The following is a 22,516-nucleotide window of genomic DNA, read 5'->3' on the forward strand; positions in this document are numbered from 1 at the left end:
CATACATCTTCCAAAGATACCTTTATTTTTCATATTCTGTAGGACCTAGGGGACTTGGAAGTGATTAGGAGCCACTGCTTGCAAAAGTCTCACCCGAACATGGTAGGAATAACTTTACAATCTCAAAATTAGCTGATATCATCTGTGTTATTCATTAAGAAACATCTGACAGAAATGTTCAGCTTCACCCACCCATTTCCTCTCTCAGTATATGTTGCATGCCTACTATTTGCCCAACAAAATGGAATTATGCCATTAGAATAACTAAGAATTATCCTGATCACCTTCAGTGAGTTCCCTACGTTGGACCTACAAGTCATTCTTATTAAGGACAATGGTTCTTACATCCAGAACTCCTTAGGGAACTTCATGTTTAACTTTAAAGAGTTTATTTGCTTGTAATTAACTCCCACAGCATCTTAATCGGGGATCACTACCAAGATTCAATACAGAGTTTCAGTGTCATTTTTCTTCCAGACGTTCTTTTATTTTTATCTCTTTTGTTGTTGTTGTTTTGTTTTTGTTTTTGAGACAGAGTCTCGCTGTGTCACCCAAGCTGGAGTGCAGTGGCACGATCTCAGCTTACTGCAAACTCCGCCTCCTAGGTTCAAGATTCTCATACCTCCCAAGTAGCTGGGATTACAGGTGTGCACCACCACACCCAGCTAATTTTCTGTATTTTTAGTAGGGATGGGGTTTTCTCACGTTGGCCAGGCTGATGTCAAACTCCTGACCTCAGGTGATCTGCCTTCCTCAGCCTCCCAGAGTGCTGGGATTACAGGCGTGAGCCACCTTATGTGGCCTTGTTTTTGTTTTTGAGACAGGGTCTCACTGTCTCACCCAGGCTAGAGCACAGTGTCACAATCACAGCTTACTGCAGCCTCAACCTCCTGGGTTCAAGTGATCCTCCCACCTCTGCCTCCTGAGTAGCTGGGACCACAGGTGTGAGCCACCACACTCAGCTAATTTTTTTAACTTTTAGTGGAGACAGGGTCTCACTATATTGCCCAGGATGGTCTTGAACTCCTGAGCTCAGGTAGTCCTCCCACCTTGGCCTCCCAAAGTGCTGGGATTACAGGTATAAGCCATGGCACCTGGCCTCTTTTTATCTCTTCTTGAAGATGGTATCTACCCAGTGACTTTTATGGGACTGACAAAAGGTCACAGCTTAGAGATTAGTTAGGACAAGGAAGGATGTGAAGGGACATGAGGTGGTGTGGAAATGCCAAGTACGGGTGGAAGGGGGATGAGCAGATAGGCGGGGTCAAAGCTGCAGGCCCTCTGAGTGGGCTCCCTGGTTCCAGAAGCAGGGAGCCAGTGCAGAGAGGGTGGGAAAAGAAGTCAGACTCTTTTACCGCCAGATTCACTTCTTTCTCCATGTGAACACTGCGTGGACTTCCAGAAGCATTGATCCTCTGCACTAGCATCCCCAGATTTAGGGACAAATAGATTTCTTGAGTTCCCAGAGGAAACAGATTCTGAGATGAGACTGGATGCAGAGCATGGCCCCAGGATCTGTCACTGATGGGGAGTGAAGGGAACAGGTGGGGCAGAGGGAGGAGCCTCAGTCGATCCCAGGATCCCACAGGGAGCTCTGGAGCTGGGATGGCCCTTCAGAGCTGCCCTGAATTGGAGCTAGGGGACCACACCTGGGCATTGACCAGTCCTTAACATGGGCTGCCCTGGGGGAAAGGGGTGACCTTGAACAAGGAGGGCAATTCCTGGAAAGGGACTCAACTAAGAGCAGCCATCAGCCACCCATGTCTCCAGCAGCTGGGGGAAGGAGCACCCACAGAACCCAGTACTAAGGATGGGTTATTTACATAACAAAGGATCAGTGGTTCTGTTTTCATTTTGTTTCACATTATTTTAATTTTTTAATGGAATGCTTCATGAATTTGCATGTCATCCTTGCACAGGGGCCATGCTAATCTTCTCTGTATCATTCCAATTTTTTAGTGTATGTGCTGTCAAAGCAAGCACTTGTTTCACGTTAGATGATAAAGGTGTTGAGGGAAAGACTTGCTCTTCCAACTGTATGTATCCCCCACAATGCACTTGCTCTTGATAAAATCAGGGCCTCCCCAGACAGGATTACCAGTTACACCTGTAATGCCCATATCTAACGTCCTAGCTGGCACAGGGATGCCGGCATAATAAACGGGGCTGCAGAGGAGCGTCATCCTGGCTTGGGATTCCTCGTCTTTCTAGATTGCTGAAAATGAGGAGCTGAGGGCCACGGAGCACTCAGAATCCCCACCAACTGCTGACCCAGAACCTTTAGCACAGTGGGTCTCAGAGAGTGTCTTACTAGCTTGAGACGTTAGGCTTCAGCAAAGCGGCACAGGTGCGGGCGAAGGCAACCTGGAGCTGTGGCTCTGCACGGGCCCTCGCCTGGCCAAGGCAAGGGACAGGACAAGAGCAGGAAGGAAAGAGTATCAGAGGTCAGTGTATCCATCCAAGGGCTCAACCTGGCCAGGGGACAAGGCAGAGGAGCCAGGCAGGCCCTGCTGCTCAGCACAGCTGCAATGCCACCTGAGATGAGGTGTGACAAAGGTGCCTGTCACTGTCCCTCCTCCTGTTCTATTCTAAGGGTCTCTGTGCCAGTTGTCAGTTCCTTACTGTAGTTGAAGCGAGGTGCACTCCCTTTCACTCTGGGTGCTACTTTCTTGGCTGAGAAAAAACAAGCTGCAGCCCAAGCCGCCCTGCTATGTGAGAAAGAGAAGTGAAACAGGCTGTGGGCTGGGCAACAGGAGGCTGACTGCAAGCGACCTGCAGATGCCGAGCCTTTGCTGGTTTACTCCGGCAGCACAACAGCATACGAAGAAAACCAAAGTGGCTCTCTCATTAGCCAGTTCCTGGAAGAGGAACGGTTCCATTTCTACAACCATTCAAGCAGCAGGGATTTATTGAAACCGATCCACGCTCAGGTCCCAGCGGACACAGTCCCTGCCTGAAAGGCACTAGAGCCTAGTTAGGGAGAGTAGAGTAACTCACCTGAAAAAAACAGCAAATGGACCTGACCTGTATAATTAGGGACTAAATTACGTGAGCCAGTCTCAAGGCGCAGTCCGTCAGGGAAGAACTCACCATGAAGACCGCCGAAGATCACGAAAAGGAGGCCAGAAGTGAGGAAAGGCTCCAGAGGCCAGGAGAGGGCATGGGGTAGCGGGGCATGAAACTGCAGGAACAGAAGCCTGGAGGCAGAGATGATAATGAGGAAATGGGCCTCACTAGACCCTGCACCCGAGCCAGGCGCATGGGTCGAGGCTGCCTCGAGAAGCCCCCTCAGCGTGGTTGCCACATAAAAGAAAAGATGCTCAGTTCAATTTGAATTTCAGCTAATCCGTAAACAATATTTACCATAGGTATGCCCCAAACAGTGCAAGACTTTTTTCTAAAACATCTGACTGAGCATGGTGGCTCATGCGTGAAATTCCAACACTTTGGGAGGACCGAGGCAGGAGGATCGGTTGAGTCCAGGAGTTTGAGACCAGCCTGGGTAACATGGTGAGACCCTAACTCTACAAAAAATACAAAAATTAGGTGGGCATGGTGGCACATGCTGGTAGTCCCAGCTACTCAGGACACTGAGGTGGGAGAATCGTTTGAGCCCAGGAGATCGAGGCTGCAGTGAGCCGTGATTGCACCATCACACTCCAGCCTGGGCAACAGAGTGAGACTCTGTCTAAAAAAGAAATAAAATAGGCAGGGCGCAGTGGCTCACACCTGTAATCCCAGCACTTTGGGAAGCCAAGGTGAGCAGATCACCTGAGGCCAAGAGTTCAAGACCATCCTGGCCAACATGGCAAAACCCTGTTTCTACTAAAAATATAAAAATTAGCCAGGCACGGTAGCACATGCCTGTGATCCCAGCTACTAGGGAGGCTGAGGCAGGAGAATTGCTTGAACCCAGTGGGCAGAGGTTGCAGTGAGCTGAGATCGCACCACTGCACTCCAGCCTGGGTGACAGAGCAAAACTCCATCTCAAAAATAAATAAATAAATAAATAAATTCAAATATTATCCATTGTTTAACTGAAATTCAGATTTACCTGGGCATCCTGTATTTGATTTGCTAAATTAAGCAACCCTCCTCCTGGAGTTATATTTTACAGTTGCTCACTTGATCCTCAGTACTGCCCTATAAGGTAGCTCTCTTATCACCATCATCCCCATTTCACAGGTGAGAAAACTGAGTCACAGAGTTGTCCACAGCCATGCAAGTAGCGCGTCTGTTTCCACAGTCTGTGCTCCTAACCCTCTAAGCTGCTACTAGAGTTTGGGATCCATTAGTCCTCGATCCAGAGTGTGGCTCTACCACTTCTTAGGTGTATGACCTTTGGCAAGTCGCTTAACCTCACTGAGCTTCAGTTTCCCCTTCTGGGAATAATAATAATTCCTGACTTACAGAGTTTTGTGAGTGAGGTAATTGAACAAATAGGAAGTGATTCATACATGGCACTTGGATGATGGTGATGATGATGGTGATGATGATGATGATGGGAAGCCTTGGATCATGTAGAGTCATTGATGAGACTAGAGGAAATGACACGCCTGAGCCACCTCCGTGGCCATTCCCTTGCCTTCACATGCCTGCCTCCACCCTAGTCCTCTCCCTGCTCCCTAAACATAGACACAGGGCTGGCCCCAGGCCCCATGTGTAACAGGCTTCCTGCCTAAAGCCACCAGGAGCCTCAGAGCCCAGAGCTCCTGTTGCTGGTGGCTGGAGTTTACTGCCTGAACTTCTAGTCCAGGTTGCGGACTATGAGCAGTCCAGGACTTTCTCCTTGTCCGACAGCCCCTCCAATCACTGCCCAGGTGTGCCTACATCCTAGTTCTAGCTGCCACCAGGAAAAAATCCAACCCATGGAGCATTTTGCACTCATCTACAACTACGTATGACAAATGGTTTCCCCTCCCTGCTACATAACTCAGCCTGCCCGTGTGCATGCTCTGAACTACTTCAATCTAAGTATCTGCTGAGTAAGATCGAGACAGAAAATATCTGTTGATTAGGTTTTGTTTCTGTCACTTCTTGCCTTCTCAGGGCAAGTCAGTTCTAGAGGTTCATTTCCGGTCCCTCGGCTTCCCACCCTGAAGCCTCCTCCCTGCTCCAGGTCAGTTTAGCAATGGAACACACCCAACAAGCTGCCCCGCCTTCTCACACCTGGGCTAGGGTGTCCAAGGTGCTGGGGAATCTAGCCCTTAGCAAAGATTACCTTATCCCTAGTACCAGGATTATTTCAATGTTTTTTCCTTGTGTTTTGTTTTGTTCTACCATCAATGTTCCACTTAGGTATTAATCCTAGCAAGTAAACTAAAAAGGCCGGGCACAATCTGTAATCCCAGGCTTACGCCTGTAATACCAACACTTTGGGAGGCCAAGGCAGGTGGATCTCTTGAGCCCAGGAGTTTGAGACCAGCCTGGGCAACATGGCAAAACCCCATCTCTACAAAAAATTAGCTGGACATGGTGGCATGCGCTTGTGGTCCAGCTACTGGGAGGCTGAGGCAGGAGAATCACCTAAGCCCAGGAGGTCAAGGCTGCAGTAAGCCATGATCATACCATTGCACTCCAGCCTGAGTGACAGAATGAGACCCTGTCTTAAAAATAAATAGGCTGGGCGCGGTGGCTCACGCCTGTAATCCCAACACTTTGGGAAGCCAAGGCGGGTGGATCACGAGATCAGGAGTTCAAGACCAGCCTGACCAATATGGTGAAACCCCGTCTCTACTAAAAATACAAAAATTAGCATGTTGTGGGCATGTTGGTGGGTGCCTGTAGTCCCAGCTACTCGGGAGGCTGAGGCAGGAGAATAGTGTGAATCTGGGAGGCGGAGGTTGCAGTGAGCCAAGATTGTGCCACTGCACTCCAGCCTGGGCAACAGAGCAAGACTCTGTCTCAGAAATAAATAAATGAACAAATAAATAAATAAATAAACTTTAAAAATGTATGGTCAGTTTTCTCATTGGAACTATGTCTACCTCCTTGGGTGGAAAGAGCTCATTCTTCCATGATCAAGCCCTGACCTTCAAGTAACCCCTTGAGATTCCTGACTCAGTCTGACCTGACTCTTATTTTCTTCCAGGCAGTGATTTCGGCAGCACAGAGACAGCAGAGAAAAAGAGACCAGATTTCTGCTCTCAAGGCGTGAATAATAGTCTTGACCCAGATTCTAACTATGTGGTCACTCCTAGTCTCTTTTTAACTCACTTTCTTATCTTGACTCTTAGAACCAACAACACCTGGCTCTGGACCTCTCACCAAGCTGTGGTTCTATGCTCTCCTGACTTCCAACTCTCCGTTCTTGTCCTTCTCACCTATGTGAGTTTCCAGCCTTCAGACACTCCCTGTCCTAGTGTTGAGTCCTACCTCTGAGACCCTCAGCTGCCCACCCTGCAACACTGACAATGCACAGAGTCCAACCATCTGGCCCTCATAAAATGTCCCAGGCTCCATGCCAAGTTGCGCTACAGATTGCTTGGCCATCAGTTCCCTAGGAAACTGTAGGCTGGACTGGCTGCCAAGTCAATGGAGGGTTTCAGCCATGTGGTTGGCCACCTGGGCAGAAGCCTTGCTGACTGCCTTCTTATCTGGTAGTTCCCCTTCCTGAGCCTTGGTGCCCAACCCTATCTGAATCACCTGGGCCTTGGAAACCTGTTCCTTTGGAGTTCCAGCCCTTCTAGGTCAAAAGCACCTTGAATATCTGACGAGGGCCTGCCTTCATTCTTTTGATCTCTTTGCTGGTGTTCCTCCTGGATGCCCTTGGCCTGTAACAGCTGGCCTCCAAACACCGGCAAACCTGTCCCCAGAACCCAAGTCTGAGTCAGCAGAGTCTTGGTAACTTTCCCTAGTTCAACAAAAACCCACAGCTATACCACAGTCCTGCCTGCACTCACCCTCTCCACCCACCTGACCACTTATTCATTCAACAAATGTTTGTGGAGTGTGTGTTTTGGAGCCAGATAATGTGAGAGTTGAAGTTTCCCAACAAGGAATGGACAAAACATTGTTCCTGGCCTAGAGGAGCTCATAGCCAAAGTGGAGGCATTAGAATAAACATAATCCATTTCAAAATGTGAAAAGGGTCACAGCAGGGTTGGAACAAGTACCAGGGGAACACCTGGGAAGGGCATCTAACTCACGCCCATGGGACAGGGAATGTCTGCATGAAGACTGATGTGAAATCTAAGCTGAATCCAAAAACAGCAGCAAGAGCTGGTAAATGGTTGGGGGTGCTCCAGATTTCATGCATGAAAACTCAAGGAGAGAAGGCAACTAAAAATAGGAAACTGCAAAAGTCAACATAATTGGGGCAGTGGGAGAAGTGAGCAAGGCTTCACCTGAAAGGAGGAGTTGGTTGGCATCTGAGGACAGTGGGAGGCCACTGGGGTTCTAAGCAGCACCCACTCCACCTATTCTTCTCTTCACAATGGGATCTACGCTTTAGGAAACTCACTTTGCTATCACGATGGAGAATGAATGAGAGGGAAGGCAAGATCCTGAGCAGGAAGAACAGAGAAGACTGTGACGGGATACCAAGACTGAGAAGATAATGGCCCGAACCACGGGAGTAATACAAAATACTGGGAGCCTAAGACCAATGGGACTTGGTCGTTGATTGTGCATGCCCTGCAAGGGGAAGGGAGGAGACTGTAGCGATGCCAGGAGTCTAGGCTGATGGATGACCTGGAGCGAGGTGGTGCTGTGAACTGTCACCAGGGAAATAGGGGAGGAGGGGCAGGTTTGTGGCATGGGGGATGGGAGACAAGGTTCAGACAGGAAGGACAGTGTTGAGTTTGAGGTGGTTACAGGACATCCTGTGAGGGGGCTGTGTGTCTCCAAAGCCATCTTGGCCAGTGAGAAAGTCTGAGAGACATCAGCAAACCCATGAACTCTGTAGAATGAGAAGAGCAGAAGGCAGTCTGGAAACATCAGCTAAGAGACAGACAGAAATTGACATAATCTCAAAGTGTCTCCCATACATGACACTTACTAGTTACATAGAAATAAGTAACTTTACAGTGGCGAAGCCTGGTAGACACTACCTCCCCTGAGTGATCAAAGTTATCAGGAGTAATGGGACGGGTAGACATTGTATGCCTCCTGATAGGCTGTACTGAGAAGGATACAACATCACTTCTGTAGTATTCCTGCCAAAAATGTATACTCTAAATGATTATATATGTCTAATCATGAGGGAACATCAGACAAAACCATACTGAAGGACATATATACAAAATAACTGGCCTGTGCTCTTCAAAAATACCAAGGTCATAGAAAAGAAAGACTGAAGAACTATTCTGGATCATAGGAGACTAAAACACAAACATGATAGCTAAATAATTCAATGTATGATTCTAGATTCGATTCTGGACCAGAAAAAAGAGGTTGTTTTGCTACACAATTCCTTTGTGACAATTAGCAAAATTTGAAATAAAGTTTACACATTAGACAATAGTACTATATCACTGTTATTTTTCTAATTTTGATCATTGCACTGTGTAAGAGAACGCCTTTTTTTTTTTTTTTTTTTTGAGACAGAGCTTCTTTGTTCTTGTTGCCCAGGCTGGAGTGCAGTGGTGTGATCTCGACTCACTGCAACCTCCACCTCCAGGGTTCAAGTGACTCTCTTGCCTCAGCCTCCCAAGTAGCTGGGATTACAGGAATGCACCATCACGCCCAGCTAATTTTTTGGGTTTTTTTTGTGTATGTGAATGTGTGTAATGTGAATATGTACCACATTTTTCCTATCCATTCATCCACTGATGAACACTTAGGTTGATTCCATATCTCAGGTATTGTGAATAATGCTGCAATGACCATGGAAGTACACGTATCTCTTTTTAGTACACATATCTATTTTTAGTAGAGACGGGGTTTCACCATGTTGGCCAAGCTGATCTCGAACTCCTGACCTCAGGTGATCCACCCGCTTCAGCCTCCCAAAGTGCTGGGATTACAGGCAAGAGTCACTGTGCCTGGCCAACAAAATGCCTCTTTAAGGTAATACTAATGAAACTATTTAGGAGGAAAGGAGAATTATGTCTGCAACTTATTCTCTATGATTCAGAAAAAAAGGTAATATGAACAGATAGATGATAGGTAGAGAGTAATAAGGCAGGCCAAGCACAGTGTCTCATGCCTGTTAATCCCAGCATTTTGGGAAGCCAAGAGAGGGCTGCTTGAGCCTAGGAGTTTGAGACCAGCCTGGGTAACACAGGGAAATCCCAACTCAACAAAAAATTAAAAAAAAAAAAAAAATTAGCTGGGCATGGTGGTGCATGCCCATAGTCCCAGCTATTTGGGAAGCTGAGTTTCAAGGATCACTTGGGCCTAGGAGGTCAAGGCTACAGTGAGCTGTGATCACACCACTGTACTTCAGCTTGGGCAACAGAGCAAGACCCTGTGTTAAAAATAAAAAATAAAATAATAAAGCAAATGTGATAAATTGTTAACATTTGGGGAATCTGAGTATAGGTAGGCTGGCATTCTTCAAAGCATTCTTTCTTACTTTTCTTTTTTTTTTTTTTTTTTTGAGATGGAGTCTTGCTCTGTTGCCCAAGCTGGAGTGGAGTGCTGTGATCTCTGCTCACTGCAGCCTCCACCTCCTGTCTCAGCCTCCTGAGTAGCTGGGATTACAGGTCCCTGCCACCACACCTGGCTAATTTTTTTTGTATTTTTAGTGGAGATGGGGTTTCATCATGTTGGTCAGGCTGGTTTCAAACTCCTGACTTCAAGTGATCCTCCTGACTTCAAGTGATCCACCTGCCTTAGCCAAAGTGCTGGGATTACAGGTGTGAGCCACCATGTCTGGCATCTTTCTTACTTTTCTATAAGTGTGAAATTATTTTGAGGTGAGTATTAAATACTAAATACTTATTACACAGAGTTGAAAACCAACTTATTGTTCCTCTAAGAATTTCAACTCCTATTGCTACTCTTTCCTTCCCCTCTGCTTTGCAGTGCCACTATGCCCTCAAATAACATTCTCTCCTTTTCTAATTATTATTGTGATAAAAAGACACAACATTAAATTTGCCATTTTTTAGTATACAGTTCAGTAGTGTTGAGTAAATTTACATTGTTGTGTGACAGATCTCTTGCAAGTCTGCAATTATTTAAATAAAAGTTTTTTTACAAAAGAAAGAAAAAGGTAGCAGAAGAGGAACCCTAGGAGGAGACAGAAAGAAGAGCCACAGAGGTAGAAGGAAAAAATAGAAGACTGTGATGTGGCAATAGTCAAGGCAGGAGAGAATGTCAACAGAGACCTGTGGCCTGAAGGGTCATTGCAGCAGACACGTCACATAAATGTCAGGAAGAGACAAAATGGACAAAGCATAATCCCCCAAGTTTGCTCTAGAAAAGATCTTCTCCTTCTGCTTTCTGCGGGTGCTCCCGGTAGGAAGGTGATAGGGTTTGGCTGTGTCCCCACCCAAATCTCATCTTGAATTGTAGCTCCCATAATTCCCATGTGTTGTGGGAGGGACCTGGTGGGAGGTCATTGAATCATGGGGGCAGATTTTTCCTGTGCTATTCTTGTGATAGTGAATAAGTCTCATGAGCTCTGATGGTTTTATAAAGGGCAGGTCCCATACATATACTCACTTGCCTGCTGCCATGTAAGACATGCCTTTGCTCCTCCTTCAGTTTCCACCATGATTGTGAGGCCTCCCAGCCATGTAGAACTGTTAGTCCATTAAACTTTTTCTTTATAAATTACCTAGTCTCTGGTATTTCTTCCTAACAGTATGAAAATGGACTAATACCGAAGGGAAGCCTAGAATATTCTTTGAAACTATTAACTCCATGTGTGGCTGAGGTAGATATCACAGGCTGGGCTGTGCTTTGGTTGGGAAGGTGTTTTGTGGGCCCCCGGGTATGCACAGGTGAGGCTCCCCAACACCCACCCTTCCCTTCCCATGAAAGGTACAGGTGAGTCAAAAGGGTCCAGCATAGAGAGAAAGAGTTACTTTCATGGGCCCCTGGTGACCTCAGAGATAGGACTCTGGGGTGGGCCTTGGGATTAAAAGAAGCTAAGATAATTGTAGGAAATTTCATGTAGGAAGCAAGGCGGCTTGAGCAGGAGATGGTGGCCAGGAAGAGGAGCTGCTGGTATGAGGCTCCCTGGGGCTAGCTGGCCACGGCCTCAGAAGCATGCGGGTGGTGTCTTGTTTCCTTTGCTTTCTCTTCTATAATTCTTTGGAATTTTCCAGAGACTTTAATAACAGACTCTCTCACCCAGTGGCATGGGGTAGGTGAGTGGTGTCCTCGGGTGTGAAGACAAGGGGGCATGTTTACATCTGAGGCTGATGTAAATTACAGAGCTTGGGCAGCCCACAGGTGATTCAGAAATAGGGATTAGACCAAGAATTTAGAGAGAAAATGGAAAGACATACATCCGGCCAGGCGCGGTGGCTCATGCCTGTAATCTCAGCACTTTGGGAAGCTGAGGTGGGCAGACTGCCTGAGCTCAGGAGTTTGAGACCAGCCTGGGAAACGTGGTGAAACCCCATCTCTACTAAAAATACAAAAATCAGGGCCGAGCGCGGTGGCTCACGCCTGTAATCCCGCGCTTTGGGAGGCCGAGGCTGGCAGATCATGAGGTCAAGAGAGCGACACCATCCTGGCCAACATGGTGAAACTCCATCTCTACTAAAAATACAAAAATTAGCTGGGCGTGGTGGCATGTGCCTGTAGTCCCAGCTACTCGGGAGGCTGAGGCAGGAGAATTGCTTGAACCCAGGAGGCGGAAGTTGCAGTGAGCTGAGATCACGCCACTGCCCTCCACCCTGATGACAGAGCGAGACATTGTCTCAAAAAAAAAAAAAAAAAAAAAAAAAGACATAGGCAGGAAGAGTCATCTGCCTAGAGGGAAAGGGTTTTCTTTTGTTTCAAAATGGAAAAGACTTCAAAGTATTTAATTGATGATGAGAAAACAAAACAAAACAAAACATTAAAGAGGAAAAGAGGAAAGATTTAAGAGAGACTATACCTTCCCAACCAAAGCCCAGATGCAGGATTTGGTTGGTTCTTAAACACTCTAGATTGAAAAGAACACCACAACACCACACCCCCATGAGACGGGATCAGCCCGCACACCTGCTCAGGGTGATACTCCAGAGTCCCAATGCCATCAATTTCATCTTGAGCGTCAGGAACCAATTGGCTGAATCATTAAGCCCAGGCCTCTCTACTGTACCCACCCCACCTGGGGGTGTAAGGCCCTCTGATGAACAGGTGACATTAAAGCAAATGAACGTTGACTCATAGCCTACTAAGCTTACATACTTGATAATATTTCATTTTCCCAGTAGTCCTGCGTAGGCATTACTATTCCCATTGTAAAGATGAGTACACTAAGGCTCAGAGAAATTACATACCAAGCAGGAAAAGGCAGAACAGGGAACCAAACCTGGATCGTATTTCAGCATTCATTTTCTTTTCATTCCAGACCTCAGGGAATATATTCTAAGGCCCCCAGAGACAAGAAAATTATGTTCCAGTACCTCCGGAATTAGAGAAAGATGACCAAGCTTTTCCCTGATACCTCCCTAGATTTTCACAATTACAGAAACATGGTCCTCTACCTCCGGAACCACAGAAACCTGAACCTACATAACCTGTCCAACTTGCTTCTCTCGAAACCCAGAAACTTTCTACAGTTGCTCCTGATGTTTCTCACCTGTCATGGAGCTTTAGAGCTACTGAGAGCTGGGGTAACGTAAAAAAGCAGAGAGAAGAGAGCTGGTCTGGTTGAAGGGGTGGGAAGGGGACATGGAAGCCCTTGCTTGGACTCTTATTTCAGCTCCAGTTATTCCCATTAAACTTGAGGTGCCTCCAAGAAACCCCAGGACTTATTTGAACACAGTTTAACAGCCACAGCTATTAATCACAGGCTTTTTTTTTTTTTAAGACGGAGTTTTACTCTTGTTGTCCAGGCTAGAGTGCAATGACACGATCTCGGCTCACTGCAACCTCTGCCTCCTGGATTCAAGCGATTCTCCTGCCTCAGCCTCCCGAGTAGCTGGGATTACAGGCATGCGCCACCACACCAGCTAATTTTGTATTTTTAGTAGAGATGGGGTTTCTCCATGTTGGTCAGGCTGGTCTCGAACTCCCGACCTCAGGTGATCTGCCCGCCTCAGCCTCCCAAAGTGCTGGGATTACAGGCATGAGCCACCAAGACTGGCCTTTTTTTTTTTTTTTTTTTTAATGAAAATTTTGAAGCTGAAGAAAGTAAAATGACCTGCCCAGGGTTACAAAGAGAGCCTAAGTGAACTGCAAACCCCAATAACCTGTTTATTTCACAGCTACTAAATCCAGCTTTCTCTGATAGACTGCTGGCTGCTTAACCTAACCCAATACCAATGCGCCTTCTCCCACTTAGTAACAAACCCCAAATTTATTCTGAGTAACACTGCTTGCTGCCAAAGGACTAAATTTCCCAGCCTCTCTTCAATTTGGACTGGCCATTTTAAATTCTAGCCAAAGAGATGTAAGCAAAAATATAGTATGGTTCTTCTAGGAAGAACATAGGCCTTTCTTCTCCTTTTCCTCTGTCCTGCTGCCTAGAAGTCAGATGTGATGGCTGGAGCTCCAGCAGTCAATTTGGACCATAAGGATGAGACACAGCCTAGGGAATGCAGTCAGAAAACTGGAAAGAGTCTGAATAATGGGGACGCTGACATAATAGACCTCAACTATGTACATGAGAAACAATTTTATATATCTTGCTTAAGTTGTGATTGTTGCAGCTGAATCTAAACTAACTGGTACAAATCAGGAATAGCTTCAACAATTTTCTCTAAGCCTTAATGACAATCCTCAAATAGCCTGAATGCATCTCTGGGGCTTGGGAAGGTATGGCCAGCAACTTCCTGCTCACTCTGGAAGCCCCCGTGTGCTGTGTTTCCAGAGCCAGGAGAGGCAACATTGCTCAGTCCTTGGAGGACCAGGTCACACAGGTTCATCAGGGTTTTCTAAGTCTATGTTCTGGACTCTATTTCCAGAACTCCAGCCACTTCCTGAGCCTTCAAGCTGCTGTTTTCCCCTAACCCCAGAAAACCCCTGAGGTTGTGTAATTATGAACTCCAAACACGGAGCACCAAAAATCAACAGAAGTCAGGAAAAGAAGCTCCTTAACCTTGTCCAAAGAAGCTCAGTAAAAATACAAATAGTAGCTGTGAGTGAGGCAAAAACAAATCTGTAAACATAAACAGATTAGAGGCCGGGCATGGTGGCTCACGCCTGTAATCCCAGCACTTTGAAAGGCCGAGGTGGGCGGATCGTGTGGTCAGGAGTTCGAAACCAGCCTGACCAACATGGTGAAACCCTGTGTCTACTAAAAATACAAAAATTAGGCAGGCGTAGTGGCATGTGCCAATAATCCCAGCTACTCAGGAGGCTGAGGCAGGAGAATCGCTTGAACCCAGGAGGCAGAGGTTACAGTGAGCCAAGATCATGCCATTGCACTCCAGTCTGGGCGACAGAGCGAGACTCTGTCTCACAAAAAAAAAAAAAAAAAAAAAAAAAAAAGAGAGAGAGATTTGAATTCATTGAATTCAATAGAGATTTAAAAATCATTAGAATGGGAATCTTGAAACTTCAGTAAGGATTTTCCTGTTAAAAAACAACAAATTCGGCTGGGCGCAATGGCTCACGCCTGTAATCCCAGCACTTTGGGAGGCCGAGGCAGGCGGATCACCTGAGGTCAGGAGTTCAAGACCAGCCTGGCCAACATGGTGAAACCCCGTCTCTATTAAAAATACAAAAATTAGCCAGGTGTGGCGGCGTGTGCCTGTGATCCCGGCTATTCAGAAGGCTGAGGCAGGAGACTCGCTTGAATCTGGGAGGCAGAGGTTACAGTGAGCCAAGATCACGCCACTGCTCTCCAGCCTGGGCGACAGAGCCAGACTCTGTCTCAAAACAAAAATAAAAACAAAACAACAAATTCAACCTGACTGGAGAGACCAGAACGTGGGAGTCCCCCATTCGTGTCCCACTGATAAGAAGTGTCCTAGGAATCACAGCAGCTGGTGTCTGAGATCAACAGCCCCCCAGTCACTAAAGCGCTACCCTGCCTTTCACACTCTAGCCCCAGAGCTGGGAAGGGAGCACTCATGGGGACATTGTCCCTGTTCGCAGAGGGAACACGGCCGCTTGTCAGCGCCTTATCCCACTGTCAGGGCAGCTGGCTGGGATGGGAGGGGAGACTGCATGAACCCCCATATTTGTGAAACTGAGTAAAAAGGAAGTTCACTTCCTGAGAAGGGTGAACTAGTCAGGCATGACATCTACAATCACCTTGCTTATGAGGCTGCAACAGAGGGGTGCTTGTCTACAGAGGACGTTAGCTACACAGGCGACGGCCCTGGGCAGATGACAGCCACGCTTGCCCATGGCACTGAGCATACCATGGTGCCCGGTGACAACACTGGGGTCGAGTCTGGAAGCCCTAGAGAACTCTGCTTCCCAGGGCTGCTAACACTGACTGGGGAGGACCCTCTGATGTTACAAAAGCCAGAAAAGGCACCCCCGGTCTCTTTCACGAACCTGATTTCCCTGTAGGAAGTAAGTTCTTGCTTCTCTTAAAACGCGATTCCCAGAACTGAACATAATAAATATTTCATTCCTAGGACCCTAAATGGTCCAATGGGACCGTTACTTCCCCTGTTACTTTCTAGCAACGTGACTTCTATCTTCTGTGGAAGTGGGAAAGCACCTGACCTGGGGTCTCATTCCACTTCTGCCACTTAAGGACTGAAGCCTCTTTGAGATTCAGACTCTTTGGCTGTCAATGGGGGTAAAAATACCCTGCCTATCGCTGTGAATCATTCTGAAGGGAATATGCTCATACACCCAGTGTCCAGCAGTCTGGGGAGACGTGAGATCCCTTTGCACGGATACCCCATGTCACAACGATTCTGAGGCCCCTGATGAGCGCAGGCCCTCAGCCCCAGCCCTGCAGAAGTATTCCCTGGGTCTTTCAGGGAGTCCTCAAAAGGGTCCCCGACATCTGTTGAACCAATCAGTCCCAGTCATCATTGTATCCTTCCTCTGGCCTGTCTTCTGTGGCTTGAGGTCCACCAATACGAGCCTTGGGGCCACTACCTCTAAGACACAGTGCCCATGGGGCTGCCAGGCTCCAGGTCCGGGGCTCCGTTGGTGCTCTAGATCCCTACACCCTGCGTGACCCAGCAGTGCTGATTCTGTGCACGGATGGAGAAAATGCACCTTCCACCCTCAGCCACTCCGTTATCTCCTGCAAGCAACTTTCAGCAACAACTCCCACACCCTGCCAAAAAAACAACCACTGACAAAAACATCAGTTTCCACAGGAGTGAGCTCAGCCGTTCACACCTTCAGACAACATCTCCCCTGGACTCAGGACTGCCTCAGCCTGAATGCCTGATTAACACGCCCAAGCCAGAACTGTGAAGCCCCTCAGAGGGGAACAACAAGAGAGCACAGCTGCCTGTCCCGGAGGCCTTCATGAAACCAAAGGACTTCACCCCCACAGTGAACTGAAACATCCACCTCCAAACCCAGAAAACTGCTGGCCACTTTCAAAAGACACCTCCTCCTCCCTCTCAGGAGCTGGGCCACGCTGCAGCCTAAGGCACCTCTGTCCACGTTGGAGGAGGAGGCCAGAGGGACCACCTAGGGAAAAAAAAATAAAGCATTCAGAGTCAAAAAATACTGTTGATTGCAGTGTGGCAGAGGTGCTAGGGCAATGGGGGAACACATAGGTTCAGAGAAAATCAGACAAATGCAAAAAAGAAACTGCCATTAAGTCCAGAAGGAGAAAAGGGTTGTTTAATCACAGAGTGTTGTCCTAGAACACTACATGGCTCAGAGGTGAGCCATGCCCCCTCCTAACACTACATACCTCCTCCTAATAATGTGAACAGTTGTCATTTATTTCATAAAGTACTGGAATACAAGGATACAGAAGGGGGTATAGGAAGGAGAGCGTTTCCTCCGCTACCATGATTGGAAGTTAACAAGTAGTGTGCAAAGTCGAAAATCAAGAAACAGTAATGTGGCTGGACGTGGTGGCTCACACCTGTAATTCCAGCACACCTGTAATTCCAGCACTTTGGGAGGCTGAGGCAAGCAGATCACCTGAGGTCAGGAGTTCGAGACCAGCCTGGCCAACATGGTGGAACCCCATCTCTACTAAAAATACAAAAATTAGCTAAGTATAGTGGCGCACACTTGTGATCCCAGCTACTTGGGAGGCTGAGGCAGGAGAATTGCTTGAACCTGGGAGGCAGAGGCTGCAGTGAGCTGAGGTCACCCCACTGTACTCCAGTCTGGGCAACAGAGTGAGACTCCATCTCAAAAAAAAAAAAAAAAAAAAAGGAAAGAAAAGAAATAGTAATGTAAGCATATTGTTTAGAAAAATGGTGGAAAATACAAGAAAAATGGCTACAGAGTTGGCAGTGCCGGCCTTCAGGAAGACAGCCTTGGGGAACAAGAGGCTAAGCGCAATTGTAATTTTTCATTATACTTTTTATGTATTTATTCTACTTTGCTTTTTATAGCTATGTACATGTAGCATTCTGTTAGAGATAATTTTATATAAAACAAGTCCTGACCAGGCATGGTGGCTCACACCTGTAATCCCAACAATTTGGGAGACCAAGGTGGGCAGATAACTTGAGCCCAAGAGTTCAAGACCAGCCTGGACAACATAGTGAGACCTCATCTCTAAAAAAAATTTAAAAAATTAGCCAGGCAGGTGGTGTGTGTCTGCAGCCCCAGCTACTGAGAAACCTGGGAGGTAGAGGCAGCAATAAGTCATGATCACGCTGCTGCACTCCAGTCTTTGCAACAGAGTAAGACCCTGTCTCAAAAAAAGAAACCAAAAAAAAAAAAAAAAGAAAAGGAAAATGAAAGAAAACAGATTTTCTCAGCCTCTACAAAGGCAGGTTTCAAAAACCTCAGGGCTCTATCACAGCTAGAGCTGTCATCAGATACGTTGCCATGTGTATTACTTTGCTAGAGCAAAGTAACAAAGTACTACAGACTAGGCAGCTTAAACAACAGTAAAGCATTGTCTCACAGTTCTGGAGGCTGGACGGCCGAGATCCGGATGTCAGCAGGATGGGTTCCCTCTGAGGGCTGTGAGTGAGAATCTGTTCCAGGCATCTCCCTGAGCTGCTGGTGGTTGCCAGCAATCTATGGGGTTCCTTGGCTTGTAGAAGAAGCACCCTGATCTCTGCCTTCATCTTCACATGCCATTCTCCCTGTGTGCATATCTGTGCCCAAATTTCCTTCTTTAGTTTTTATTTTTATTTTTGAGATGGGGTCTCATTCTGTTACCCAGGCTGGGGTATAGTGGTGCAATCATAGCTCACTGTAGCCTTGACCTCCCTGGCTCAAGCAATCCTCCTACCTCAGCCTCCTGAGTTAAGCTGGGGCCACAGGCATATGACACTGCACCTGGCTAGTTTGTTAAAAATTTTGTATTCTCTGTAGAGATAGTGTCTCACTATGTTGCCCAGGCTGGTCTCAAACTCCTAGGCCCAATCGATCCTCCTACCCCAGCCTCCCAAAGTTCTAGGATTATAGGCAGGAGCCACTGCACCTGGCCTAATGGATCAGGGACCACCCTACTCCAGTATGAACTCATCTTAACTAATTACATGTGCAATGACCATATTTCCAAATAAGGTCACATTCTGAGGTACTGGGGGTAAGGACTTCAGCATATGAATGCGGGGGGCAGTAGCAGTAGGAGGAACACAATTTAGCCCAACAAACTGTTAAAACTGTGGAGTGTTATTGTCATATACTTTAAAACAAATTGGCCACCCTGCAGGTCCTGTGTCTTAACATGGCTGCCTTCCTATAATACTGACTGGTACACTTGCTCCCAGAGCTCCCAATTCAACTCTGCAACAGCCCCAACTCTCTTCATTTCTCCCTGAACACACACCCACTGAAAGGTACTCTTGCTCCCTCCCCTCAGCCCCCACATTAACACCTGTCACCCTGTGGTGCTGCTGTGCCTATGTCCTGATTCCTTTGCACAGATCCCTGCTCACTAATTGAGCCTTATCTCTTCTCCCTCTCCCATTGATCCAGCCAGTCCTTTCCTCCTTCTTCTTAGATCAGGGGTGTCCGATCTTTTGGCTTCCCTGGGCCATACTGGAAAAAGAAGAATTGTCTTGGACCACACATAAAATATATTAACAATAGCTGATGAACTAAAATAAATAAATAAAATCACACAAAAAAGTCTCATGACATTTAAAGAAAGTTAACAAATTTGTGTTGGGCCACATTCAAAGCTGTCCTGGGCCGCAGACAGCCCATGGGCTGGACAAGCTGGCCTTAGATAGATTGAGACCAGGAAGCCCCCAACTTCCCCCATAATAGAACTCGTAAACTGAATCTCAGCACAAAAGGATCATCCTCCAGTGGCTGAGTACACTAGAAGCTTGAGTCCTCTGCTCATGGGGCCACTTCCTAGTTGGGTAATGGACAACTTAACCTCCCTGTGGCTGTTTCCCTACCTGTAAAGTGGGACTAATAATAGTAACCCACATCATAGGCTTACATGACATAAAGCATGTGAATCTCCTAGCACAGTGCCTAGAACACAGTAGGTATTTAATAAATACCATTTGTTACTATTTTACTATTACCAGGTGTTACTTTTTATCTTCTTTCATTGAATCATGTCCAGAGCAAAGCAGGGCTGTGCTAGACCTCCAAACCGCCTTTGACTCAAAAGAGAGGCCCCCGCTGGGCTGGGCGTGGTGGCTCACACCTGTAATCCTAACTCTTTGGGAGGTCAAGTCGGAAGGATCCCTTGAGCCCAGGAGTTCAAGACCAGCCTGGGCAACACAGGAAGACCCTGTCTCTATTAAAAAAAAAAAAAAAAAAAGCTAGCCATGGTGGCTCACACCTGTAATCCCAGCACTTTGGGAGGCCGAGGTGGTGGATCACCTGAGGTCAGGAGTTCGAGACCAGCTTGGCCAACATGGTGAAACCCCATCTCTACTAAAAATACAAAAAAAATTAACCAGCATGGTGGCAGGTGCCTGTAATCCCAGCTACTTGGGAGGCTGAGGCAGCAGCATCGCTTGAACCCGGCAGGCAGACGTTGCAGTGGCCGAGATCACGCTATTCCACTCCAGCCTGGGTGACGGAGTGAGACTCTGTCTCAAAAAACAAAAGAAAGAGAGAGGACCCCATTGGGTCTGTGCCGTGCATCTCAGCTACCAATGCTTCCGCATCCTCCTGGTTCTGTCCTGCTAACAACCAACAGGACAGCTCAACCTGCCTGCTTTCCTCCTGGTCTCCCAGGGCACATCTGTCTCTGGAACGGCCCTCATCCCACTCTGCCTCACTCACACGATTCCTATTAGCCTCTTAACTCAGCGTGGTCTTCGGGAGCACACCCTTCAACCCAAAAGCAGCACTTTTAAAACACGTTTAAAAAGTGATTTAGTAAATAATGTTGATTTCTTTTGTGAAATTTTTAAAGACAAAGTCAAGTTACGTTACCCATGCCATAACAACGGAAGCAAAAACAGAAACCTATATTCCATTCCATTTTAAACTCAGGGACACCCAAGCACCCAGCTGAGGGCTCAGCAGCTTGTTTTTGCAATGTTCTACAGTGGGAAAGAAAGGAACAAAAAGCCTAGGAGTGGATCTCTAGAGAAAGACATTGTATATTTTGTCTGAAAGCATCTTACTCAGGAACTCCAGTTCCAACACCGTTTGGAGATGGTTCTAATCAGAGAAAAGCAAAACCCTAAAACATTTCTCAAACAGTTCTTCACGATCTGCTGCCTAAGACTCTTGTAGTACTTGCCACAGCAATATAGAGAACGTTTAAGCTTCTTATTTGTAATAAAAAGTGACAAGAGGCCAGGCGCGGTGGCTTACGCCTGCAATCTCAGCAATTTGGGAGGCCAAGATGTAGGGATCACCTGAGGTCAGGAGTTAGAGACCAGCCTGGCCAACACGGCGAAACCCTGTATCTACTAAAAAATACAAAAAAAAAAAAAAAAAAAAAAAAAAAAAGCCAGGCACAATGGCTCACGCCTGTAATCCCAGCACTTTGGGAGGCTGAGGTGGACGGATCACGAGGTCAGGAGTTCGAGACCAGCCTGACTAACATGGTGAAACCCCGTCTCTACTAAAAATATAAAAATTAGCCGGGCATGGTGGCGTGCGCCTGTAATCCCAGCTACTCAGGAGGCTGAGGCAGGAGAATCACTTGAACCCGGGAGGCGGAGGTTGCAGTGAGCCAAGATCACGCCATTGCACTTCAGCCTGTGTGACAGAGCGAGACTCCGTCTCAAAATAAAATTAAAAAAAAAAATTAGCTGGGTGTGGCGGCGGGAGCCTGTAATCCCAGCTATTTGGGAGGCTGAGGCAGGAGAATCGCTTGAACCTAGGAGGCGGAGGTTGCAGGGAGCCTAGATTGTGCCACTACACTCCAGCCTGCGCGGTAAGACGGAAAACACTGTCTCAACAAAAAAAGGTGACAAGTACAACTAACAGTTCATTGCACATTTACCGTGTGCCAGACACCCATCTGTTTTGTGTGGGTTGACTCATTTAAATAAACCAATTAACTTTTAGAGAAGGAGCAGTTCAAGAAGGAAGGCTTTCAGTCACATAGCTGCGTGACCCTAGGCCTTCAATTTCTCTTCCATAAAGTGGGGATAATACCCACCTAATAGTTATTGTGAGGATTAAATGAGATAAATGTAGGTATAGCATTTTCACCCAAAGTTTTCCAACGTCATTTCATAGTTATAAAGAATCGAATGATACATTTGAGAAGTACGTACTGTATTAATGAAAAAATGAACAAACCAGGAAATGGAAAATTTTGAGATTCGTTTTGGCCTATTTCAATCTGCCCTTCAGTATGTCCATCCTGGTGGAGGTGACCTTGGACTGGCGTTTGACTCCCCACAGCCAGTCTCTGCTAAGCCCTGTCACCACATCAAAGGGGCCACCTAGACAACGTGAAGTCAGAGGAACCCCAATCCTGCCCACACTTCAAAGGGGCTCCTCTTCCGGAAGTTGTTACAGCATTCCTTTCAAGGAGGGTAAACAACGAAACAGCTCCAGGAGCTCACAGCTCGCTCCAGCTACATCACTGGCCTCCACGCTGGGACGTGGAGCTCTCTGGGGCCCAAACAGCACACCGAAGAATGAAAATGTCCCTCTGCCGAGAGCAAGTCGGCCCTGCTGCCTTCCCATTTCACCCTTCCACTAATGAGCACCAGGAAGCGCCCCTCCCAGGGCGCGCCCTCAATCAGCGTCTGGCCCTGAGCAGGTGGCACCCCTCTCTTCCTCTCTGCCCTCTGTCAAGACCATACCACGGCTGTTTTGACTCCTGGGCTTCCGCCCTTTAGTTTACACATTTGATGATTCCGTTTGAAAATCGCAACCTGAAATACTCCTCTTCTAGGCTGGAGGCGGGGTTGGGGGCGGGGGCGGTGGGTGGCGGAAGGAGGGCCCTCAAACAAAG

The 22,516-nt window shown here is 47.1% G+C and overlaps 1 pseudogene, besides 3 other annotated features; it reads right to left on the reverse strand.

Moving 5' to 3' along the window:
- RNU6-797P (RNA, U6 small nuclear 797, pseudogene) lies at nucleotides 1,881–1,983 on the reverse strand (annotated as a pseudogene).
- Nucleotides 2,398–2,477: an enhancer, noted in NCBI's record as "active region_26774". NCBI's record gives its function as "activates an Ori minimal core promoter by ATAC-STARR-seq in GM12878 lymphoblastoid cells {active_cell/tissue: GM12878}" and the evidence as "EXISTENCE:reporter gene assay evidence [ECO:0000049][PMID:35858748]".
- Nucleotides 3,100–6,759: an enhancer, noted in NCBI's record as "VISTA enhancer hs2082". NCBI's record gives its function as "enhancer in: dorsal root ganglion[3/7] | trigeminal V (ganglion, cranial)[3/7]" and the evidence as "EXISTENCE:transgenic organism evidence [ECO:0001131][PMID:17130149]".
- Nucleotides 4,855–4,924: an enhancer, noted in NCBI's record as "active region_26775". NCBI's record gives its function as "activates an Ori minimal core promoter by ATAC-STARR-seq in GM12878 lymphoblastoid cells {active_cell/tissue: GM12878}" and the evidence as "EXISTENCE:reporter gene assay evidence [ECO:0000049][PMID:35858748]".

This window comes from Homo sapiens, chromosome 7, assembly GCF_000001405.40.
Source record: "Homo sapiens chromosome 7, GRCh38.p14 Primary Assembly".
In the NCBI taxonomy this organism is placed as follows: Eukaryota; Metazoa; Chordata; class Mammalia; order Primates; family Hominidae; genus Homo; species Homo sapiens.